General features: G+C 49.5%; 2 long non-coding RNA genes across 5 annotated transcripts, besides 7 other annotated features; both read right to left on the reverse strand.

Annotated features, from left to right (window-relative positions):
- Positions 190–949: an enhancer, noted in NCBI's record as "H3K27ac-H3K4me1 hESC enhancer chr5:170172277-170173036 (GRCh37/hg19 assembly coordinates)". NCBI's record gives its function as "activates a minimal SCP1, AML or CMV promoter by ChIP-STARR-seq in naive H9 embryonic stem cells {active_cell/tissue: H9 hESC(naive)}" and the evidence as "EXISTENCE:reporter gene assay evidence [ECO:0000049][PMID:30033119]".
- Positions 289–13,384, reverse strand: LOC107986473 (uncharacterized). 3 transcript variants are annotated; one of them, XR_007059044.1, is made up of 3 exons: positions 12,778–13,384; positions 1,828–2,110; positions 289–1,028 (listed from the first exon to the last, which is right to left on the reverse strand). It is a non-coding gene; the product is annotated as an uncharacterized LOC107986473 (long non-coding RNA). The 3 variants fall into 3 exon arrangements; XR_001742974.1 differs by lacking the exon at positions 12,778–13,384 and having other exon boundaries at positions 1,828–2,238; XR_001742975.1 differs by lacking the exon at positions 12,778–13,384 and having other exon boundaries at positions 289–1,050; positions 1,828–2,238.
- Positions 950–1,708: an enhancer, noted in NCBI's record as "H3K27ac-H3K4me1 hESC enhancer chr5:170173037-170173795 (GRCh37/hg19 assembly coordinates)". NCBI's record gives its function as "activates a minimal SCP1, AML or CMV promoter by ChIP-STARR-seq in naive H9 embryonic stem cells {active_cell/tissue: H9 hESC(naive)}" and the evidence as "EXISTENCE:reporter gene assay evidence [ECO:0000049][PMID:30033119]".
- Positions 3,988–4,745: an enhancer, noted in NCBI's record as "H3K27ac-H3K4me1 hESC enhancer chr5:170176075-170176832 (GRCh37/hg19 assembly coordinates)". NCBI's record gives its function as "activates a minimal SCP1, AML or CMV promoter by ChIP-STARR-seq in primed H9 embryonic stem cells {active_cell/tissue: H9 hESC(primed)}" and the evidence as "EXISTENCE:reporter gene assay evidence [ECO:0000049][PMID:30033119]".
- Positions 6,129–7,013: an enhancer, noted in NCBI's record as "H3K27ac-H3K4me1 hESC enhancer chr5:170178216-170179100 (GRCh37/hg19 assembly coordinates)". NCBI's record gives its function as "activates a minimal SCP1, AML or CMV promoter by ChIP-STARR-seq in primed H9 embryonic stem cells {active_cell/tissue: H9 hESC(primed)}" and the evidence as "EXISTENCE:reporter gene assay evidence [ECO:0000049][PMID:30033119]".
- Positions 6,316–7,323, reverse strand: LOC107986474 (uncharacterized). 2 transcript variants are annotated; one of them, XR_001742977.2, is made up of 2 exons: positions 7,040–7,323; positions 6,316–6,674 (listed from the first exon to the last, which is right to left on the reverse strand). It is a non-coding gene; the product is annotated as an uncharacterized LOC107986474 (long non-coding RNA). The 2 variants fall into 2 exon arrangements; XR_001742976.2 differs by having other exon boundaries at positions 6,316–6,842.
- Positions 7,014–7,898: an enhancer, noted in NCBI's record as "H3K27ac-H3K4me1 hESC enhancer chr5:170179101-170179985 (GRCh37/hg19 assembly coordinates)". NCBI's record gives its function as "activates a minimal SCP1, AML or CMV promoter by ChIP-STARR-seq in primed H9 embryonic stem cells {active_cell/tissue: H9 hESC(primed)}" and the evidence as "EXISTENCE:reporter gene assay evidence [ECO:0000049][PMID:30033119]".
- Positions 14,288–14,818: an enhancer, noted in NCBI's record as "H3K27ac-H3K4me1 hESC enhancer chr5:170186375-170186905 (GRCh37/hg19 assembly coordinates)". NCBI's record gives its function as "activates a minimal SCP1, AML or CMV promoter by ChIP-STARR-seq in primed H9 embryonic stem cells {active_cell/tissue: H9 hESC(primed)}" and the evidence as "EXISTENCE:reporter gene assay evidence [ECO:0000049][PMID:30033119]".
- Positions 16,942–17,472: an enhancer, noted in NCBI's record as "OCT4-NANOG-H3K27ac-H3K4me1 hESC enhancer chr5:170189029-170189559 (GRCh37/hg19 assembly coordinates)". NCBI's record gives its function as "activates a minimal SCP1, AML or CMV promoter by ChIP-STARR-seq in primed H9 embryonic stem cells {active_cell/tissue: H9 hESC(primed)}" and the evidence as "EXISTENCE:reporter gene assay evidence [ECO:0000049][PMID:30033119]".

Consider the following 18,121-nt stretch of genomic DNA (forward strand, 5'->3'; position numbering starts at 1 on the left):
TGTATTTTTTGTACAGACAGGGTTTCCCCATGTTGGCCAAGCTAGTCTCAAATTCCTGACCTCAAGTGATCTGCCTTCCTCAGTCTCCCAAAGTGCTGGGATTACAGGTGTGAGCCAGGGCGCCCGGCCCCACCTTTTCATTTTTGCCCTGAACTTGGCAAATTATGGAGCAGGTCCTGCCCAGGGCTTTCAGTTTCCAGCACTTTCTTGCCTTGACTCATTTTCCCTCCCACACCGCAGTGAGGAGAGGTTAGGGTCCCATTTTTTTATAGACCAAGAAACTAAGGCTCAGAGAGGCGAAGAGATCTATTTAAAATCACGCACTGGCCCTTGGTGGAGCAGGGCCAGAAGCCACATTTGTGACCCCAAGTACAGAGCTCTTTCCCACCCACCTAAGAGGCTGTCCCCTGGCAGGCAGGGTCCCACCTAGAAGGCCAAGACCCTCGCCCACGCCCAGCAGGGAGCCTCCTTCAGGCCCACCTGTGCTTATGGATAGCTTAGGGTGGGCCAGGGCATCTGGGCTCCAGTTGCTCAGAGGCTGGGGCAGGGCTGGGACAAGTGGCAGAGCTGTTCCCAGAGTCTGTTTCTTCTGATGATTGGAAACTCCCTGGCAGCCAAGAGGAAGAGGCAGTCCTCGGAGCCCAAGCTGCCAGTCCTGGCTCTGCTTCCTGGACAGCCAGCCACAGACACTGGCGGTCAGAAGGACCTTCCCTCGGGGCAGCTGCCCCACCACGGAGCTCCTGCACGCAGAGCGGGAGGGAGGAAAGGGGCCTGGCTTCCAAGTGAATGAGACAGACCAGAGCTTGAGTCCTGGCTCCCCGCATTCCAGCTGCACGCCCTTAGGCAGGTGGCCCCTCTGAGCCTTGCTTTCATCAGAAGTAAACTCAGGATCACATTCTCGGGACTGCTGCAGGGAGGGTTGCATAGTGAAAGCACCTGGCAAGTTGCAGAGACTTCATAAATATTCCTTCATTTACTCTCGGTTTCAGTCACAAAGGCAGCTGAGTTGTCTGCTCTGGAATCTTCCCCTGGGGGATGAAGCACAGAAGCCTGCTCTGGGGGTCACAGACTCTCCCCTAAGCAGGGTGGGGGCAGAGTGCTCGGTGAGGGGAGGGCTGGAGAGCAAGAGAGCTGTGAGAAATATGCTCCATCAGGCCAGACCAGCCACCGGAGGGGATGGGGGGGCATGGGGGGTGGGGGCCCACTGCAGGTCCGAAGCGGCCTGCCAGGTGGCTTTCCACGCTGGTTGGGGCTGCAGACAAGCAGATGCATTGAGGCCAGGCCATGGGGCAGGAGGAAGACAACACAAAGATAATAATACTCGCATTGCCCCATGTGGTTCTACAACCCCAAGCTGGTGCCAAAGCCTTCCCCTCGCTGCATCCTCACCTCCGCACTTTACAAATCAGTGACCCAAGGTCAGGAGAGTGACACAAAGACGTGGACCAGCCTCCTAATTCTTGATTCAGTGATCACCCTGGTATTGCAGAGTCAGGGCCCCAGACCATGGAACAAAGGGGCAGGAAAGGCAGGATGTCCCTCCTTGTTCCTCCGTCTGCCAGCTCCACAGAGCTGGAGGTGGGGACTGGGGTCAGGAATCAGGGACCAGAGAACAAAAGGTTCCCGTCATCCCAGGGCCTGTGCCTTCCTCTGAGTGCAGTCGCTTGGCTGAAACAGGATGAAAGGTTTTCCTGGGGCCCTTGGAGTCTGAGAAGCTGGGCTCCAGCCCCACTGCTGCGATGGACATGCTGTGTGACCTCAAGAACATAAGTCCCCCTCTCTGAGCCCCTGTCTCCTCATCTATGAAACAGGGATGATAATCCTTACCTCACAGGATTGGAATGGTGTCAGGATGACATGTGAGTTTCATGGTCGGTCAGACTGACTTCAGACTCCAGCTCTGCCCTCTATTCGCTCTATGATCTTGTGTAAGTCTCCACCTCTCCACGCCTCAGTTTCCTCGTCCGAAAAACAAGGATGTTAAGACCTCCTGTCAGCTGGACACGGTGGCTCATGTCTGTAAGCCCAGCACTTTGGGAGGCCAAGGCGGGGGGATTGCTCGAGTCCAGGAGTTCCAGACCAGCCTGGGCAACTTAGTGAGACCTCAACTCTACAAAAAAAATGAAGAAAATTAGCTGATCACGGTGGTGCGCATCTGCTGATCCAGCTACCTGGGAGGCTGAGGCTGGAGGATTGCTTGATCCCGGGGGTTCAAGGCCGCAGTGAGCCATGATTTTGCCACTGCATTCCAGCCTGGATGACAGAGTGAGACCCTGTCTCAAAAAAAAAAAAAAAAAAAAAAAAGACCTCCTGTCTAGGGTGTTCTAGGATGTTGTAGAGATTCAATAATGTTAATCTCCCCAGGAGAGATGGAGGCTGGAGGTAACCAGGGCTGCATTTCACTACAGAGGCCACCCAGGACCTGGCCTGGCGCCTGCCCCAGCACCCAGGCTTATCCAATGCCCACAGGGCCAACAGTGCAGAGGCATTCCTGCTGTCACCCAGCAGCCTTTCAGGAATGAAAGTTGACAATCAGAATGAGTAGTGACATTAACCAGGCCACATCAACAATGAAAAGACTGTGAATTATTTGAAATCTGGATCTAAGAGACAAAAACCTTTTGTTCCATGATCTCAGAATCTTTCAAAGGCTCATGTATGCCTCCTCACAACAGCAGCCACCAAAACACTTGGACCTCTCTGCCTCAGTTTCCTAATCTGTAAGCCACAGAAATGCTGTTCGGACCTCCTTCAAGAGAACCTGCCTGACCTTGTCTTGAGTAAGCGTTCAGAGTAGGGGTGACGATGTTCCTATGGTCACCCCACTCCACCCCAGGGAGGGGAGCTGGGATGGCTGCTGCAGGGGCCTGGCCACCAAATCCCCCAGGCTGTGCCCAGAAAGGGACTGGCCACCAGGGGGCTTTAGTTCCAGGCCACTCCTGCTGGACACCGAGTCCTCCAACAAGCAACTTGCTTCGTGGAGGGTAGTTCCCCGCAGTGCTGTCTGTGGCTCTTTCTACCCAGTCTCTCCTTCTACAGATGCCAGACCCACACCGACCCTCCGCTTTTACCTTCATGGACTTCCTGCCCGATACATCTCGGGGACATCTAACCCCATCTTGGCATCTGCTCTTGAAGGGCCCTGACTGGCACGGGGAGTGATAGCAATGCCTGCGGCACTGAGCTGTGGTCAGGACGCAATGTAACCTGCTCAGAACATGCGGGGAGCACAGCCTAAGTGGAAGAGCTGGGACAGTCACCACCGACCACATCCACTCATGGATTTGTCTGTTGGTAGAGGTTTAGTTGGTGTTTCCTTATATACCTAAAGGAAAGTAGTTTCAGGCCGGGCGTGGTGGCTCATGCCTGTAATCTCAGCACTTTGGGAGGCCAAGGCCAGTGGATCCCTCGAGGCCAGGAGTTCAAGACCAGCCTGGCCAACATGGTGAAACTCCGTCTCTACTAAAAATACAAAAATTAGCTGGATGTGGTGGCAGGCACCTATAATCCCAGCTACTCAGGGGTGTTTCACATGAGAATTACTTATACCTGGAGGTGGAGGTTGCAGTGAGCCAAGATTGTGCCATTGCACTCCAGACTGGGAGACAGAGCGATACTCTGTCTCAAAAAAAAAAAATGAAAAAAGAAAGAAAAGAAAAGTAGTTTTAGCCAAAGGAGGTATTTCTCTTGCACTGTAAGCCAATTTCAGCCAGGCCACCAAAATTGCCTCCCTCAGAAGCAAATATCTGCAGAAGATCCAAGAAAATTTGCTCAAGGGTTAGCTCCCACCTTTGCTCCAAGAGACACTGGCTCCACTGCTGAATGAACAAATTGTGCAGCTCAGCCTACGTTAGGCTGTATGCTCACATCTCCTCCTCTGGATCTTGGTTCCCCGGCAGATGAGTGCAACTAGGCCCTGGGGTCCTTCCCAGCTGCAGCATTCTAGGATGAGGACGGAGCACTGGCCTCTGTCTGTGGCCTCAGAGGCAGCCAGCTGCCTCTCCTCCCTCCCTCCCCGAGCCACGTCTTTTTTTGCCACCCACTCTGTTGTGTCCTGGGTGTGTGAAGGGGCTGCGCTTAGCTGCGTCTTCTTTTGTCTGGAGATGACAGTCCACAGACCAGGAAGGAAGGGTGGGAATGACGGTTTGCAGAGGGAAGGCGAGGGGAGCTATTTCCACCTACTTTGGCCTGGTAATTGATGAGCACGTGGGGAGGTTTCCGCATTTCAATAAGAGGTTGCTTTCGCCTTCCTCTGCCTTCCTCCAGAAGAAGCGCCCCTGACCCGGTGGAACCAAACACAGAGGCTTTCTTTCCAGTGCCATTCTCTGACATCAGCCCTACTCCAGAGAGCTCCCCAGGGAGGGGTCTGAGTCTCCACCTTCCTCTGAATCCCTCTGCCCCCCAGATTTCATTCCCCACTCACAGGAGCAGCTTGCTCTTGATAACTGCGGTGTCAGCCGCCTAACTCCTCTCTTCATGTCTCGGGGATGAGCTGACTTGGGCTGCCTTCCTGGACTGCCCCATGCTGCACGTCTCCTGGGATTTCCATAGCCGAAGTATCTCCCACTTACCACATGGGCCAGCTCCCTGTCTTCCAAGCTTCCATTTCTACAGCCTCAGTTACTGGAGGCTTTTGTCTACCCAAGCCTGGGGAACTGCTATTCATGAAAATGGCAGTATTCATTGTTTTTGAAGATGTCTAAGTCCCAGAAAACATAAGAAGGTTCGAGATGGCTTTTAATATGAAGGAGAGCGGTCTTCATTTTTTTTCTGGTGAAAGGAACACTTTTTAATGAAAACTCAAGTTAATGTTAAATGACAAATGTCATAGAGCCAGCCACGAGTCTTTCTAACTTTGTTGTGGCCATAAATGACAGACATGTGCAATCAAGTCCCCAGGTCAACAGAGGGACAGATTGCTGGCAGAACCACCCTCAGCAGGTTAATAAGTTGACCTGAAAGCTGCCAGGGCAGTTTGGAACGTTTGCGATGAGGAACTTGTATTTAGTTTTTATAAGTTGTCACATAATCGCTTAGGGCGGCTCTTAAAATATGTCCAAACAAGGAGACAGTGAATAGGTCTGGAATAACAGTCCCCCTTCTGTTTCAGAACTGACAGTTTCAGCCAATAGGGAGAGGTGAATGGTAATGAGGGAAGAATGGGCTTTTTAGACACACCTGGTATTGAACCCTGACTCATGATGTGCTAACTGAGACTGGGCAAGGTGTCTCAGCTGCCTTATCCGGCTTCCTCCTTGGCCGTAGAGTCAAAACACATCCTTTGCCCCATCCTTTGAGGGTTCTCACCAAGGGAAGGGAATAAACACAGGGCAAACACCTAGGAGGCTGACACCCAACAGGCATCGAGAAATGTTCATTTTCTTCCTCCCTCCTACCGTCACCCTAGCTCTAGCTCTCATATCTAGGAACTAGAACAGCTGTCTACCCCCTCTCCCAGGCTTTGCCCAGAGCCCAGATGGTTTCTAGGCAGACCCATAGGATTTAAGGTCTTGCTAACAATTAAAAGCCATGAATCTCTTCCCCTCTTCCCTGCTCTGTTCTGAGTCCTGTGTGTCTATAGCTCATCTCATCTTCCCCATAGCCCTGAAGTAGATAGGAAAGATGATCATGTCCACAACTCAGAAAGGGTGAAATTAAGGCAGAGAGGTGAAGACACTTGCCCCATGTCACCAGTGGAGTGAGCTGATGATGGAGCCAGCACTTGAACCCAAACCATCCATCTAGGTCCAAAGCACACTAGTAGCACCATGCTACTACTCTGCCTCCTGAGCCACAAGACAGTAAGGATTAGATGTCCATGCTCAAGCATTGTAAGCAAAAGTAGCTAAGTAGAGAGGGTGAGGAGTCCAACAGGCTCAAGAAGGAGAGCAGATGCCAGCTGTGCTCGCTCAGAAATCGGAAACGCAGCTTGCAGCCTTTAGTGATAGAGCTGTACGCTTGAGGGGCTTCTTCCCAGAGAGAGGTCTGGGAGTCAGAAACACAGAGTGCAGTGTCCCCTGCTGAGTCAAACAGAGGCCAGACCAGGGGACACATCAGAGAAACGGCCCAGGAAAGGCTGGGACAGGCTCAGGACTCGCCCAGAGGTACTGCGCCCTGAGTAAACCTGTTTATTCTTTCAGAATAAGCTGGTGTCGGATGGAAAGGTCAATATTATTTAGTATTATTATTAGTTATTCTGGAATAACTACTTATATTTCTTATGTATTTTCCAGGTATTTCACATGCATTCTCTCATTTAAGACCCACGGCAACTCAGCAACATATTATCCCCTTTTACAGATGAGAAAGGGCTCATTGAGGCAAAGGGATTTATTTATTCAAGTTTACATGGCTGCCTGTGGCAGGGTTGGGTGAACCAGGGCTGCTCTGCCTCTGTGCCTGCTATGCCAAGTGAGAATAGGGTACTCATCCCAGGATCATCTTTGCAGGCATCCAGCTGTTTCCCGTGCCCACCTGCCCCCTCATTAGGTTCTGTAAGATCACCGTCCTGACCCCCAGGAGCACACTCACCCATGGGGTCAGGCTGCTATTAGAAATTCCTTCCAGAGATGCCAGGTGAGAGGGAGGCAGGCAGACAGACATCTGTGGGGGTCACATTCACCCCAGACAGTTCATTGCCGGAAGGAAGCCACATGCCTCACGTCGAAGCTCATCTGATTGGAGTCAGACACAGCCAGATACAGTCATGATTGTGTCCAGAGGCCCACGGGGGCTGGCGGGGCCCTTCACGACAGCTGCTACGGCACAGCCCATCTGGAAGGGCTCTTTTTGTTCAACGCTTTAACCCTCTGAGGACCCTCGGGACCAAGGGATGCCACACCCTGGGTGAGAGAGATACTCAAGGAGGAGGGTCCCTCTACAGAGGATGAGTTAGGACACCCGGGACGGGCCCACATTTTCCTCCCCACTCTGCTTCCCAGGTAGATTGAGGGTAGGAGGAGGCCCACATTCCACAGAGGAGAGACTGTGAGCCTCTTGAGTTTTAAGAATCTGTGAAGGAACACCCCCAAACACCTACCATGCACCCCCAAGCAAGTAAAGGGGCTCCCTGAGTTCCAGCAGCTTGAGTAAAGGCCCAGAAAGTGACCCTGTGAGGCTCATGGAGAAGGGAATGTTGAGGGCCCAGCCTGCACTGGGTGGGCAGCGCCCTGCCCCAACTTCCCGCAGGTTCCCAGGAAATGAACAAAAGGCTCCCTCAGCTCACTCGTTGGCAGATGTCTCTGACCTGAGGCCATTCATCAACTCTCACTCAGGCACTCAGCCCCCCAGACAGCCTGGAGGTGTTGGCAGCACACCAGAGAGACTTTCAGCCAAAGACAGGTCTGGTTTCCCTGAAGAAAAAGAAACCTGAACTGGCTGCCTTCCCAGAGCGTCTGCTTGGGGGACCCACCCAAGTAAACAAAGCTGTTAAATGGGGGCATGTGGGCCAAAGCCCGCTGCACTAGAAGCTCCCGCTGCAGCAGTGCTGCCCTGCCCCAGGCACCACTCTAGCAAGAGAGAGCCTCTCACCACCGTGGGGCCTGACCCTGCTGCTGACCAGCCTCTGCTACCCACAGCCTGGACCCTCTCTCCACCTGGAGCCCCTCTCCTTCCTGCCTCCCTCTGATTCATGCCCGGTGGGTAGGAGTCCTACTTCCTCTCCTCTTCCCTGAACACAGTAACAGTGGGTGTGCTCCTGAAGGTGACGTGAGGGCAACAAGACTGACTGACCTTCCTCGTCCACCTAGGGAGCTCATACAGACCCATCACATCCACCCCCTGCCACCTCTGCAAGCTTGGACAGGAGGTGAGCTCCTCCGAGCTGCAGCTTCCTCATCTGTAAACTGGGAATAACAGGATCTCTATCAAAGATGATGGTGACTATTCAGAACAGACAAAGCCACAGAGACAGAAACAGATGAATGGTTTCCAGGGCTGGGGCAGGAGGAATGTGGAGTACCTGCTTCATGGGTACAGGGTTTCTGGTTTGGGGTGATGAAAATGTTCTCACACAAGATCATGGTGATGGTTGCACAACCTCATGAATGGACTTAATGCCACTGAATTGTACACTTTAATATGATTTCAATGGTAAATTTTATGTTATGTGTATTTTGCCACAACAAAAAAAAGTTCCTATGAGATTAAATGAAATGAAGTTTGTAGAAATGATTGCACCACCGGGTACATTATAGATCCTCAACAGATTTTAATGTCCTTGCTTCCCTGAGATCATCACATTGAAATGTAGACAATATACCCTGCTCTACCCCACATGCCTCCCCAGGGTGGACTATTTTTCTATTTAGATACTTGCTCCAACATGCTAATAGGATGAATCCATGTTTTTCATAAAGTAAAGCATTTGATTCACCAGTAGGAGAGAGAGTATCCAATGCTGCCACCCCTGTTCCCTCTTCTGGACTTACCTGTTTCACTGGCCTGGTCTAGGGTAACCAACACCAGGATTGAGTCCTACCAGAGGAAGGTAAAAGGCTCTCTGGGTACCCAGGCTAGGGACTTCTCTCAGTATCTGTTTCTCACTGTTTCCAAAACACTGTCATCCTAAAAAATAAAGCCTCTCATTGTTGGGAAGCATTTTTCCAAGAGTCTTTTGTGTTTCTGCACGTCTTCTGAGCAGAGACACTGCTTTGGTTACAATCTTTTCAAGAATGTTTGCAAAGCAAATAGCCTCAGAAGATATAGTGTCTCCCTTCAATGTAAAGAGCAGGTAGGCTTACTCTCCATTATGAAATATCTGGGTTCCCTAGGCTTAGGGCTCCTCTCCCATAACGCAACCCACAGCAGGTACAGATGACACCTGGCCCTCTTTGTGCCACCCCATGGGAATAAGGGTTTGGGGAACTGGAACAAAAAATGCATTGAACATAGCAAGGCTCAACTAGTATTTATAATCATTATTAATTGCCTTTCTTCCCTACTATGCTTTAAGCTCCTTAAGGGTAACCAGTATGTTTTTATTTATCTTTGTATTTCACAGAATGGATACTGATAAATATTTGCTGGCTGGCTGGATGGATGGATGGGTGGATGGATGGGTGGGTGAATGGATGAATGGATGGATGGATGGATGGATGGATGGATGGATGAGTGGACGGATGGATGGATGGATGGATGGATGGATGGATGGATGGATGGATACATGGAGGAATGGGTGGGTGGATGGATGGGTGGGTGGATGGGTGGATGGATGGATGGGTGGATGGATAGGTGGATGGGTGAGTGGGTGGGTGGGTGGATGGATGGATGGATGGACGGGTGGGTGAATGGATGGATGGATGGATGCATGAGTGGATGGATGGATGGATGGATGGATGGATGGATGGATGGATGGATGGATACATGGAGGAATGGGTGGGTGGATGGATGGGTGGGTGGATGGGTGGATGGATGGATGGGTGGATGGATAGGTGGATGGGTGAGTGGATGGGTGGGTGGATGGGTGGATGGGTGGATGGATAAGTGGATGGGTGAGTGGGTGGGTGGGTGGATGGATGGATGGATGGACGGGTGGGTGAATGGATGGATGGATGGATGGATGGATGGATGGATGGATGCATGAGTGGATGGATGGATGGATGGATGGATGGGCGGATGGAAGGATGGATGGATGGATGGATGGATGGATAGATGAATGGATGGATTGGTGGATGGATGGATGGATGGATTGTTGGATGGATGAATGGATGGATGGGTGGATGCATGGATGAGTGGATGGATAGATGAATGGGTGGATGGATGGAAAGATGAGTGGGTGGGTGGGTGGGTGGGTGGATGGATGGATGGATGGACAGACAGGTGGATAGGTGGATGGATGAGTGGGTAGATGGAATGATGGATGGATCGATGGATGGATGGATGGGTGGATGGATGGGTGGGTGAATGGATGAATGGATGGATGGATGGATAGATGGATGGATGGATGGATGGATGGAGAGATGTTTCTCTTGTGTCATCCTGGCAGTTTTATCTGACACTTCCCCTCTCATTCTTACAGCTTTTCTAGCTCCTGACACCATACCCAGTATTTTAACCACTTACCTTGCCAGCTATTTTCCTGGCTCAAACCATGTGATGTAGATAATAAGAGTCAAGTACTCTGCATGGGGCCTTGGATTTGGATGTTGGGGAGCATCCTGGATCCTTGCCTAGGTCTGGACATCTCTCCTGTCCTGCCCTCCCAGCTTTGTCCTAGCATCGGCTCCACTCCCAACTTCAGGACCTCATGGTGATGTGCAGTTCTAATATACCTAACAAGATATCAGTCCAGGCTACCAAACCACATGTTGGTCACCCCTGAACCAGCTAAACAAGATGTTTGCTTCTCACATTTGCTCCTGTTAGGCTAAAAGGGGTCATAGTGCTGGGCACATAGCAGGTACTTGGTTAATATTTATTTCATGAATGGATGAATAAGCCTTAAATTCATCGCCTCCTTCTTACATTATTAAAGTCAGCCTCCTGGGCAATAAGACCTAAAAATACAACCAAAAGGAGGGAAACTGGAGATATCGCCACAGACATTCCTTTTGGTTCGGCATCCACATGGCAAACACAATCTCCAGAACGGTGCAGTGATGGCATTGGATGTGCCAGCCAGTCTTCCCTGTGGTAAGAACCCCCGCCTTTGTGCACAGCTTCCTCACAGATCATATACGATGTATAAGGTGATTACAAAGGTATACCTGCTCTATATGCACTTGCAATTGCAAAACAGCTACTCCCCTTTTCCACAGCCACACAGGAAGTTTGGCCAATTGGCATCTTGCCAAGAAAAGCCTGGCAGTGAATAGCTATTTAATGTAAAGGCTCTGGGGCCCATTTTTCAGATGGCTGAGAGAACGGAATGTCCAGCAGGCAAATTGAAGTGCCGAATCTGTGGTGCTGGGGTCCCGGATTCATCAGCAATAGGGACACTGGGTATATTTAACTGGGTATGATCCACCAGTGGATGCCTAGTATTCACTGATGTATTTGTTTGCTTGTTTATACCTCCTTTCACTCCAGAAGAGATTTGTGTAATTCGATAAGTTCACATAAAGTGGAACGAAACAGGATTGGTTATAAAACACAAAACTGCATATCATGTGTTCTCTTGACTAAGTTCAAGAGAGTACAGAGCTGTTGCCAGGCCAGGCAGAAGGCCTAGGTGTGGCTGCTGTGTTCCAGGACCTGCCCTCCAGCATGCCAAGCCCAGGGACTTGATTTTGCCAGTGCTCTGAGAGTTATCCAGCCTTAGAGAGAACCAGCTCATACAACCCAAGTCACAAGAGGCTCTTATACAAACCACAATTAACTCCACTTGACAAATGTATTCTAAGAATTAGATCACAAGAAGGACAAGAACAGCAACAAGAAGAGGAAAAAGAACAAGAAGTGGGGGAAGGAAGAAGAATAAAAGAAAAAGGAAGGAAGGAGGGAAGGGGAGAAGGAAGGAAGCAAGGAAGAAAGGAGAGAGAGAAGGAAGGAAGGTAGGTTATGCAACACAGTCAGTGCTGGTAACCCCAAAAACAAATTGAAAAGGGAAGCCATATTATAAAAAGAACATCACTTCTTGAGCTGAAATAAAGGGTAAGGAAAAGGAGGTTGGTGGCGGGTAGAGGGCCTGTCACCCGGACCTGTGCTGAGGTCTCATGAACTACCCTTTCTCCATCAGTGACAACTTTTCCAATGTCCTAAAACATTTCTGGCAGATTCCAGCCTCTCTCCCTTGGAAGGCCCTGGAAAAACACTACCGAATTCTTGTTCTGTGAGTTTCCTATCTCAAGACTCCAAGCTGACCATCCCCACTGGCAAACTCTCCTATTCTCCAGAGACCATGCAATTCTACCGAAGACGTGTCAGCCTTAGTTACAACTTCTTTCCTCCACCAGGACATTACCCAGCCACCTCGATTAGCGTTTGGGGCATGCCAGAAACTCTTTTGCCATGCTCTTGGGTCATGTCCATAGACGATTTCTTTCCTTCACTGTGTGTGAATTTTATTCTGTAACTTTTAAAGGGTTACATTAGTTCTAAATGACTGAGGTTGGGAAGGGACGACCCTTCTCTCGGGTATGAGCAAATTATTAATAGTTCAATCAGTAAAGATATGGTTTAAAGAGCAGGGACAAGCCCTGGCTTCAAGCAGGTGTTTTCCATGGTCTAATTACACATTAACCATAATGGTTACCAACACCAAAACAGCCCATTGAAAATCAAAGGTGCTTAATGGCCTGGGCTCCGGTAGAAGTCGGTGGCTGGCTATTGTTTTTCACTTATCTGACCTTTCAGTCCAGTCAAAGAAGGAACTGGCAGCAGGCAAATATACACTGCTGGTGACTCATCATCAGAAGTGTTGCTATTTGGATTCCATTTCTCACACTATTCTAGAAATGCAGGCATTTGAATTCCCGAGGCACATGCATATTTTGACCAACTATTTTAACAAGTTCCAAGCAGAGCATCGTAGCAAAAACAAGTGTAAGCAATTGCTCTCTGGGCAGAGAAAATGCATACGGGCCATTTTGCTTATGGTAGGAGTATAGTTGTCACATTAAATACCAGCATGTCCAGTTAAATTTAAGTTTCAGATAAACACCAAATGATACAATATTTAGGACATACTCATACTAGCAAAGCATTCATTGTTTATCTTAAGTTCAAATTTAACTAGACCTCCTGGGTTTTTATTGCTAAATATAGCAGCTCTAGATAGGAGTGAAAGAGAAAATTTTGAATTCATCCTTCCTAGTGAGTTACATGTAAAATACATACCTGCAGAGATGCCACGATGACCTAGCAACAGATTCACCCTGAGGCAGCAGCCGAGAGCCAGAGCAGGGAATCCTGGCTGTGAGGTGTAGAAGTCTTCCTCCTTGTTTTGTAAACTTCTCTGGCATGGAAGAAAGAAGGAGGGCTGCATTATTTAGTATAGTACCCTCTACTGAAACCTCTGTTAAGATGCTCAGAGGAGAAAGGCCACTTTTGGAGTCACAGGGGCTCCCTGAATGGAACAGGCAGCAATGAAAGAAGGGAGGTGTTTTCTCCACTCCTCTCACTGTCCTGTTATCTCTTCCCAGGATATGAAGGCCAATCTTGCAGAAACTGAGAAAACATGGCTGGCAAATCAATAACCTCTGGTCTGGGGATCAAGATAATTCAAGAAGAAGAAGAGAGTGTGTGTGTTTTCCTCCATAAGTTTCCTAAGCAATTGTATCAGTCTATCCCCACTTATAGGTACTTTGCAATGGTGTCCTTTCATAATCAGAGAGTCACAGCCCCACGTGTGCCTTCGGGAGTTCTAACGCTGCTGTTGGCCACAAGTGGGACCCGGAGCAATTCGTGTACATTTTCAGGATCTCAATTTTCCCATCTTTAAAATAAAAGAAGGTCCTTGATCATTAGAAAAGGGGGAAAGGAGGAGGATTATTAGTCTCAGAACTCAATGGAAAAATAAAACTTAATGAAAAGATGGTATAAGAACCTTTCTGCTCTAAACTTCCATGAGTTTATGTCCACGTTTATATATTGGCTTGAGCATGATCTACTGTTAATGATTATGTGCCACCCTTAATGGGACAAGATGTACTTTCGACACTGCCCTTCCAACCAGCTGTAGGGACTGAAGTTTGTTGAGTCGTCCATACTTTATCTATTTTTTTTTTTTTTTTTTTGAGGTGGAGTCTCACTCTGTCACCAGGCTGCAGTGCAGTGGCATGATCTCAGCTCACTGCAACCTCTGTCTCCCAGGTTCAAGAGATTCTCCTGGGATTACAGGTGCACACCACCACACCCGGCTAATTTTTGTATTTTTAGTAGAGACAGGGTTTCACCATGTGGGCCAGGATGGTCTCGATCTCCTGACCTCGTAATCTGCCCGCCTCGGCCTTCCAAAGTGCTGGGATTACAGACGTGAGCCACTGCACCCGGACATACACTTTCCTACTGGCCTGCAGAGTTGATTAGCAAGGTGGGCAGTACAGTTGGTCTGCAGCCTCATCATAAAGGTTTCTCCACCTAAATCTCACAGCGTCTCCAGGCACTGACCACATGACCTCCCCACTGGAACTCTTGTCTAGCAGATGAGCCCTGTTCCCATGCTATATTTGCCAAGTGAGCAGCTCCCCAGTTAAATCCTCTATTGGCTCTCCATTGTCTATGTGAAAAAGACCAAACTTGTTGGCTTCTCCTAATGGGTCACAGGCCCACTCTTGACACTCCTCTTTCCGTCACCTACCGTGATGTCTTCCTAAGACTCCTTCTCCCCCTCACAATCTCTGGCCTTTGCACAGACTGTTCCCTCCACTGAGAAGGGCCCGGCTGCTCATCATCAAGAACCCAGGTGTTGCCTCCCTGCTGAGTCTGCTCAGAGTCCCAGGTAGTCACGCCCTCCCGCCTCTTTTCTGCCACCTCCTCAGGCCCCTTTCTCTATAATGGCACTTCCTGCCTTACATCGTGGGTTGCTTGTTTACAACTTTCTCTCCTCCAGTTGTCTGTGAACCCCTCCCTCCAGGGGAGTCTTATATACCATGTCTTATACCTCTTTGAGTCTCCACGACCTACCACAAGGCTTAGCCCAGAGCAGGTGCTAGCAAATGTTGACTGAACTAATGAGTGAAGAAGCCACATATAATTCAAATAATATTTCCCCAGCCTGTAAATTATGGTTGAACAAGGCAGTTCATAATCTCTGAAGATTCTACACACACCACGATCTCACGAAGGGCCAACTCGCTGTGGAGTGCAAGTGCAGGACAATGTCAACACGATCTCAGGAGGCAAGTCACGGGCAGGGCCTCTGCTTCATTCTGATCTCAGTCCCTGAGTCCCACCTGCGAAGACCTGGCTCCAGGTCTTTCTGTCAGGGCCCATGGTGCCGGGGTCATCCTGGTGGAGGCTGGGGAGAGCAGCTAGAGCTCAGCTTGAGCCTCTAGGTGGGAATTGCTGCTGAACAAAACCAGAGATGGGAGGGAGCTGGCACTCTGTGTTCAGGTGGCTGTCCCTGCCCTGTGGCCATTTGCCAGCTCCCAGATCTATCATGTTCCCACAAATCAGAGATATTTTCTCATGAGTCGTCTGGTAAAACGAGTTAATTGCCTTGCCTGACAGCTGGTCTGGCAGGGGCCCCTGTGGGGTTGGGGGACATGACCCAAATGGTCATATGGGGCAGGAGCCAGCTGAGGTGGAGGGAGATTTACTGCAGATGGCACTGTCGGTGACGTCAGGGACAACAGCCCAGAGAACCACACTCAACAGGGGTCGATTTACACTCCTGAGAGTCAGACAACCTCCAACTTCACACACGTGCGCACGCGCACACACACACACACCAGCAGAGCAACCCTCTCCCTTACAAGGGCTTTGGAGCTCTGGCTTCAGGGACCCTTCAGAGGTTTGTCACTGGTTCCCATCTGCCCTTCCTTGGTGGTCTCTTCAGGATAAAGGGCCCTGACGGCTTCACCTCCTGGCCCATCTTCTTGGGCTCAGGGACTCTTTGCAGGGAAGGTAACCACAGACAAACACGAGGCAGAGCCTACCTACAGAGACCCCTACTACTCCCCAGGCTCAACATAACCTTCTCCAGGCATCGCCCTCTCCCACCTCTTGACCTGTCTAATTTGTATCTAATGACAAAGATTATTTGCTTGATCAAACCTTCACCAGGCTCCTGGACCTTCTCCTAGGTCCATCTGTGCATTTTCTTGTAAAGCCCAGTTTTAGCAAGAACTCCCACCCCACCCTTGATATCTGAACACCCTTGATATCTGCTCAGCTTCTGCACCCTCTGCCCTCCCCTAGGTGAGGTCTGATCGCCCTGGTCTGCCTTCAGCAAAAATCTTTTAGGTGGGTTTAGCCAGAATCCTCTCACTCCTGATAGTTCCTCTTAGTCTTTTTCTATCCACTGACCCCACCTGCTCCCTGGCCGTAAACTCTTACTTTCCCATGATGTATTCAGAGCTGAGCCCAATCTCTCTCCCCAACTGCAAAACCCCATTGCCGTAGTTCCTCTACCAAAGAAAGTCTTACTGTGCTCTATTAAGTGTCATCGATTAATTTTTTTTTTTTTTTACACTGAGACCCTTCTGCCTGGTACAGATGGAGCCTGGTCATTGGCAGTGCTCCTGAGTGCACCTGCACCTTCAGCTCCCTCATCTCACTTCCTCATGGGGCCATCCCAGACTCCCTCTGGATCTTTCTCCACACTCTTCTGAGGTGTGCAGTAGAGAAAGAGCAGGGGCCTCAACAAGGACCAGGGGTCCTCGGGTCAGATTTCACCTCAGCCAGCAGTGTGAACGTGGGCAATTTATTTGAACTTTGGGACCACTGACTCACCTTACGTGGGGATAATATGACCTAGTAATGAGGCAGCCGGAGCACCTGAGCCGCAATCAGCATGAATTCCTTTTCATTTCCTCTAAGCAAGTCACCTGGCTGCTTTTTGTCTTTCTAATTTCCTGACCCAGGGTCTGTGGGAGATGAGTAAGGGTGGAATGGGAGGTTTCTTATGCACAAGCCATTTACAGCTATTGAACATCTATAAACAGAGGCATCCCATATTGAAACAATCTGCCCTAGGAAGCAGAGAGGTACCAGGTGTGGTCTCCAGCTTCCATTTTTCATAACTCTCTCCTCCCCACTTCCTCTCCCTCTCCCCTTTCTCATTCATCCACACCCAGAGGGTATGAGATACCAAACATTACTCAGGAAGGGGAAGGACAAATTCAAAATGACTCTGTCCATTCAACATCTACCGAGCCCGTGCCCGGCGCTGGGCTTGACTTTGGTGGTGCAGAGATCATATGAGGGTCCCAAATTTCCTCCCGAATTTCCTGTCTGGTGGCTTTGTATACAGGTGGGATGTATGTGGAGGGGGTGGGGGAACAGGTACAGACATGCAGGTACATAAACTATTACAATATTACGTGGTAAATATGGTAGTAGAGATGGATCCACAGGCACAAAGGAGGGAGGGGGACAGAAGGGCAAGGTCGGTTTCATGCGCGTCTGTGTGAAGAGACCACCAAACAGGCTTTTTGTGAGCAACATGGCTGTTTATTTCACCTGGGTGCAGGCGGGCTGAGTCTGAAAAGAGAGTCAGCGAAGGGAGATAGGGGTGGGGCTGTTTTATAGGATTTGGGTAGGTAATGGAAAATTACAGTCAAAGGGGGGTTGTTCTCTGACGGACAGATTGGGGGTCACAAGGTGCTCAGTAGGGGAGCTTTTGAGCCAGGATGAGCCAGGAGAAGGAATTTCACAAGACAATGTCATCAGTTAAGGCAGGAACAGGCCATTTTCATTTCTTTTGTGGTGGAATGTCATCAGTTAAGGCAGGAACCGGCCATCTGGATGTGTACGTGCAGGTCACAGGGGATATGATGGCTGAGCTTGGGCTCAGAGGCCTGACATTCCTGTCTTCTTATATTAATAAGAAAAATGAAATAGTGGTAAAGTGTTGGGACGGCGAAAATTTTGGGGGATGGTATGGAGAGATAATGGGCGATGTTTCTCAGGGCTGCTTCGAGCGGGATTGGGGCGGCGTGGGAACCTAGAGTGGGAGAGATTAAGCTGAAGGAAGATTTTGTGGTAAGGGGTGATATTGTGGGGTTGTTAGAAGAAACATTTGTCATTTAGAATTATTGGTGATGGCCTGGATACAGTTTTGTATGAATTGAAGAACTAAACGGAGTAAGAGAAGGAGAAAAACAGGTATTAAAGGACGAAGAATTGGGAGGACCCAGGACATCTGATTAGAGAGTGCCTAAGGAGGTTCAGCATAGCCTTGCCAACAAAGATTATTTATTTACTTTAAGAGTTAAGAGTGGCAGTTTGGGGATAGTACCAGGAGATATCAGCTGTGATGGCTTGGAGAAACAGTGTAAACTGGCAGTGTAAACAAGAGCAGGGCATGTATGAGTAGTTGAGAATGGTGAATAGGAGTATGACTAGACAGAAGAGAGTAGGGATGACAAGTTTTTGGGGACACAGTCTAAGTTGTCTGGTGTCTGGAATGAGACTGGGGCCTAATAAAAAGGAGTGTCTATACAGGAGCTCAAATGGGCTGTATCTTGTTGCATTCTGAGGACAGGCCTGAATTCTGAGAAGCGAAAGTGGTAAAAGT

This window comes from Homo sapiens, chromosome 5 (genome assembly GCF_000001405.40).
Source record: "Homo sapiens chromosome 5, GRCh38.p14 Primary Assembly".
Classification (NCBI taxonomy): domain Eukaryota; kingdom Metazoa; phylum Chordata; class Mammalia; order Primates; family Hominidae; genus Homo; species Homo sapiens.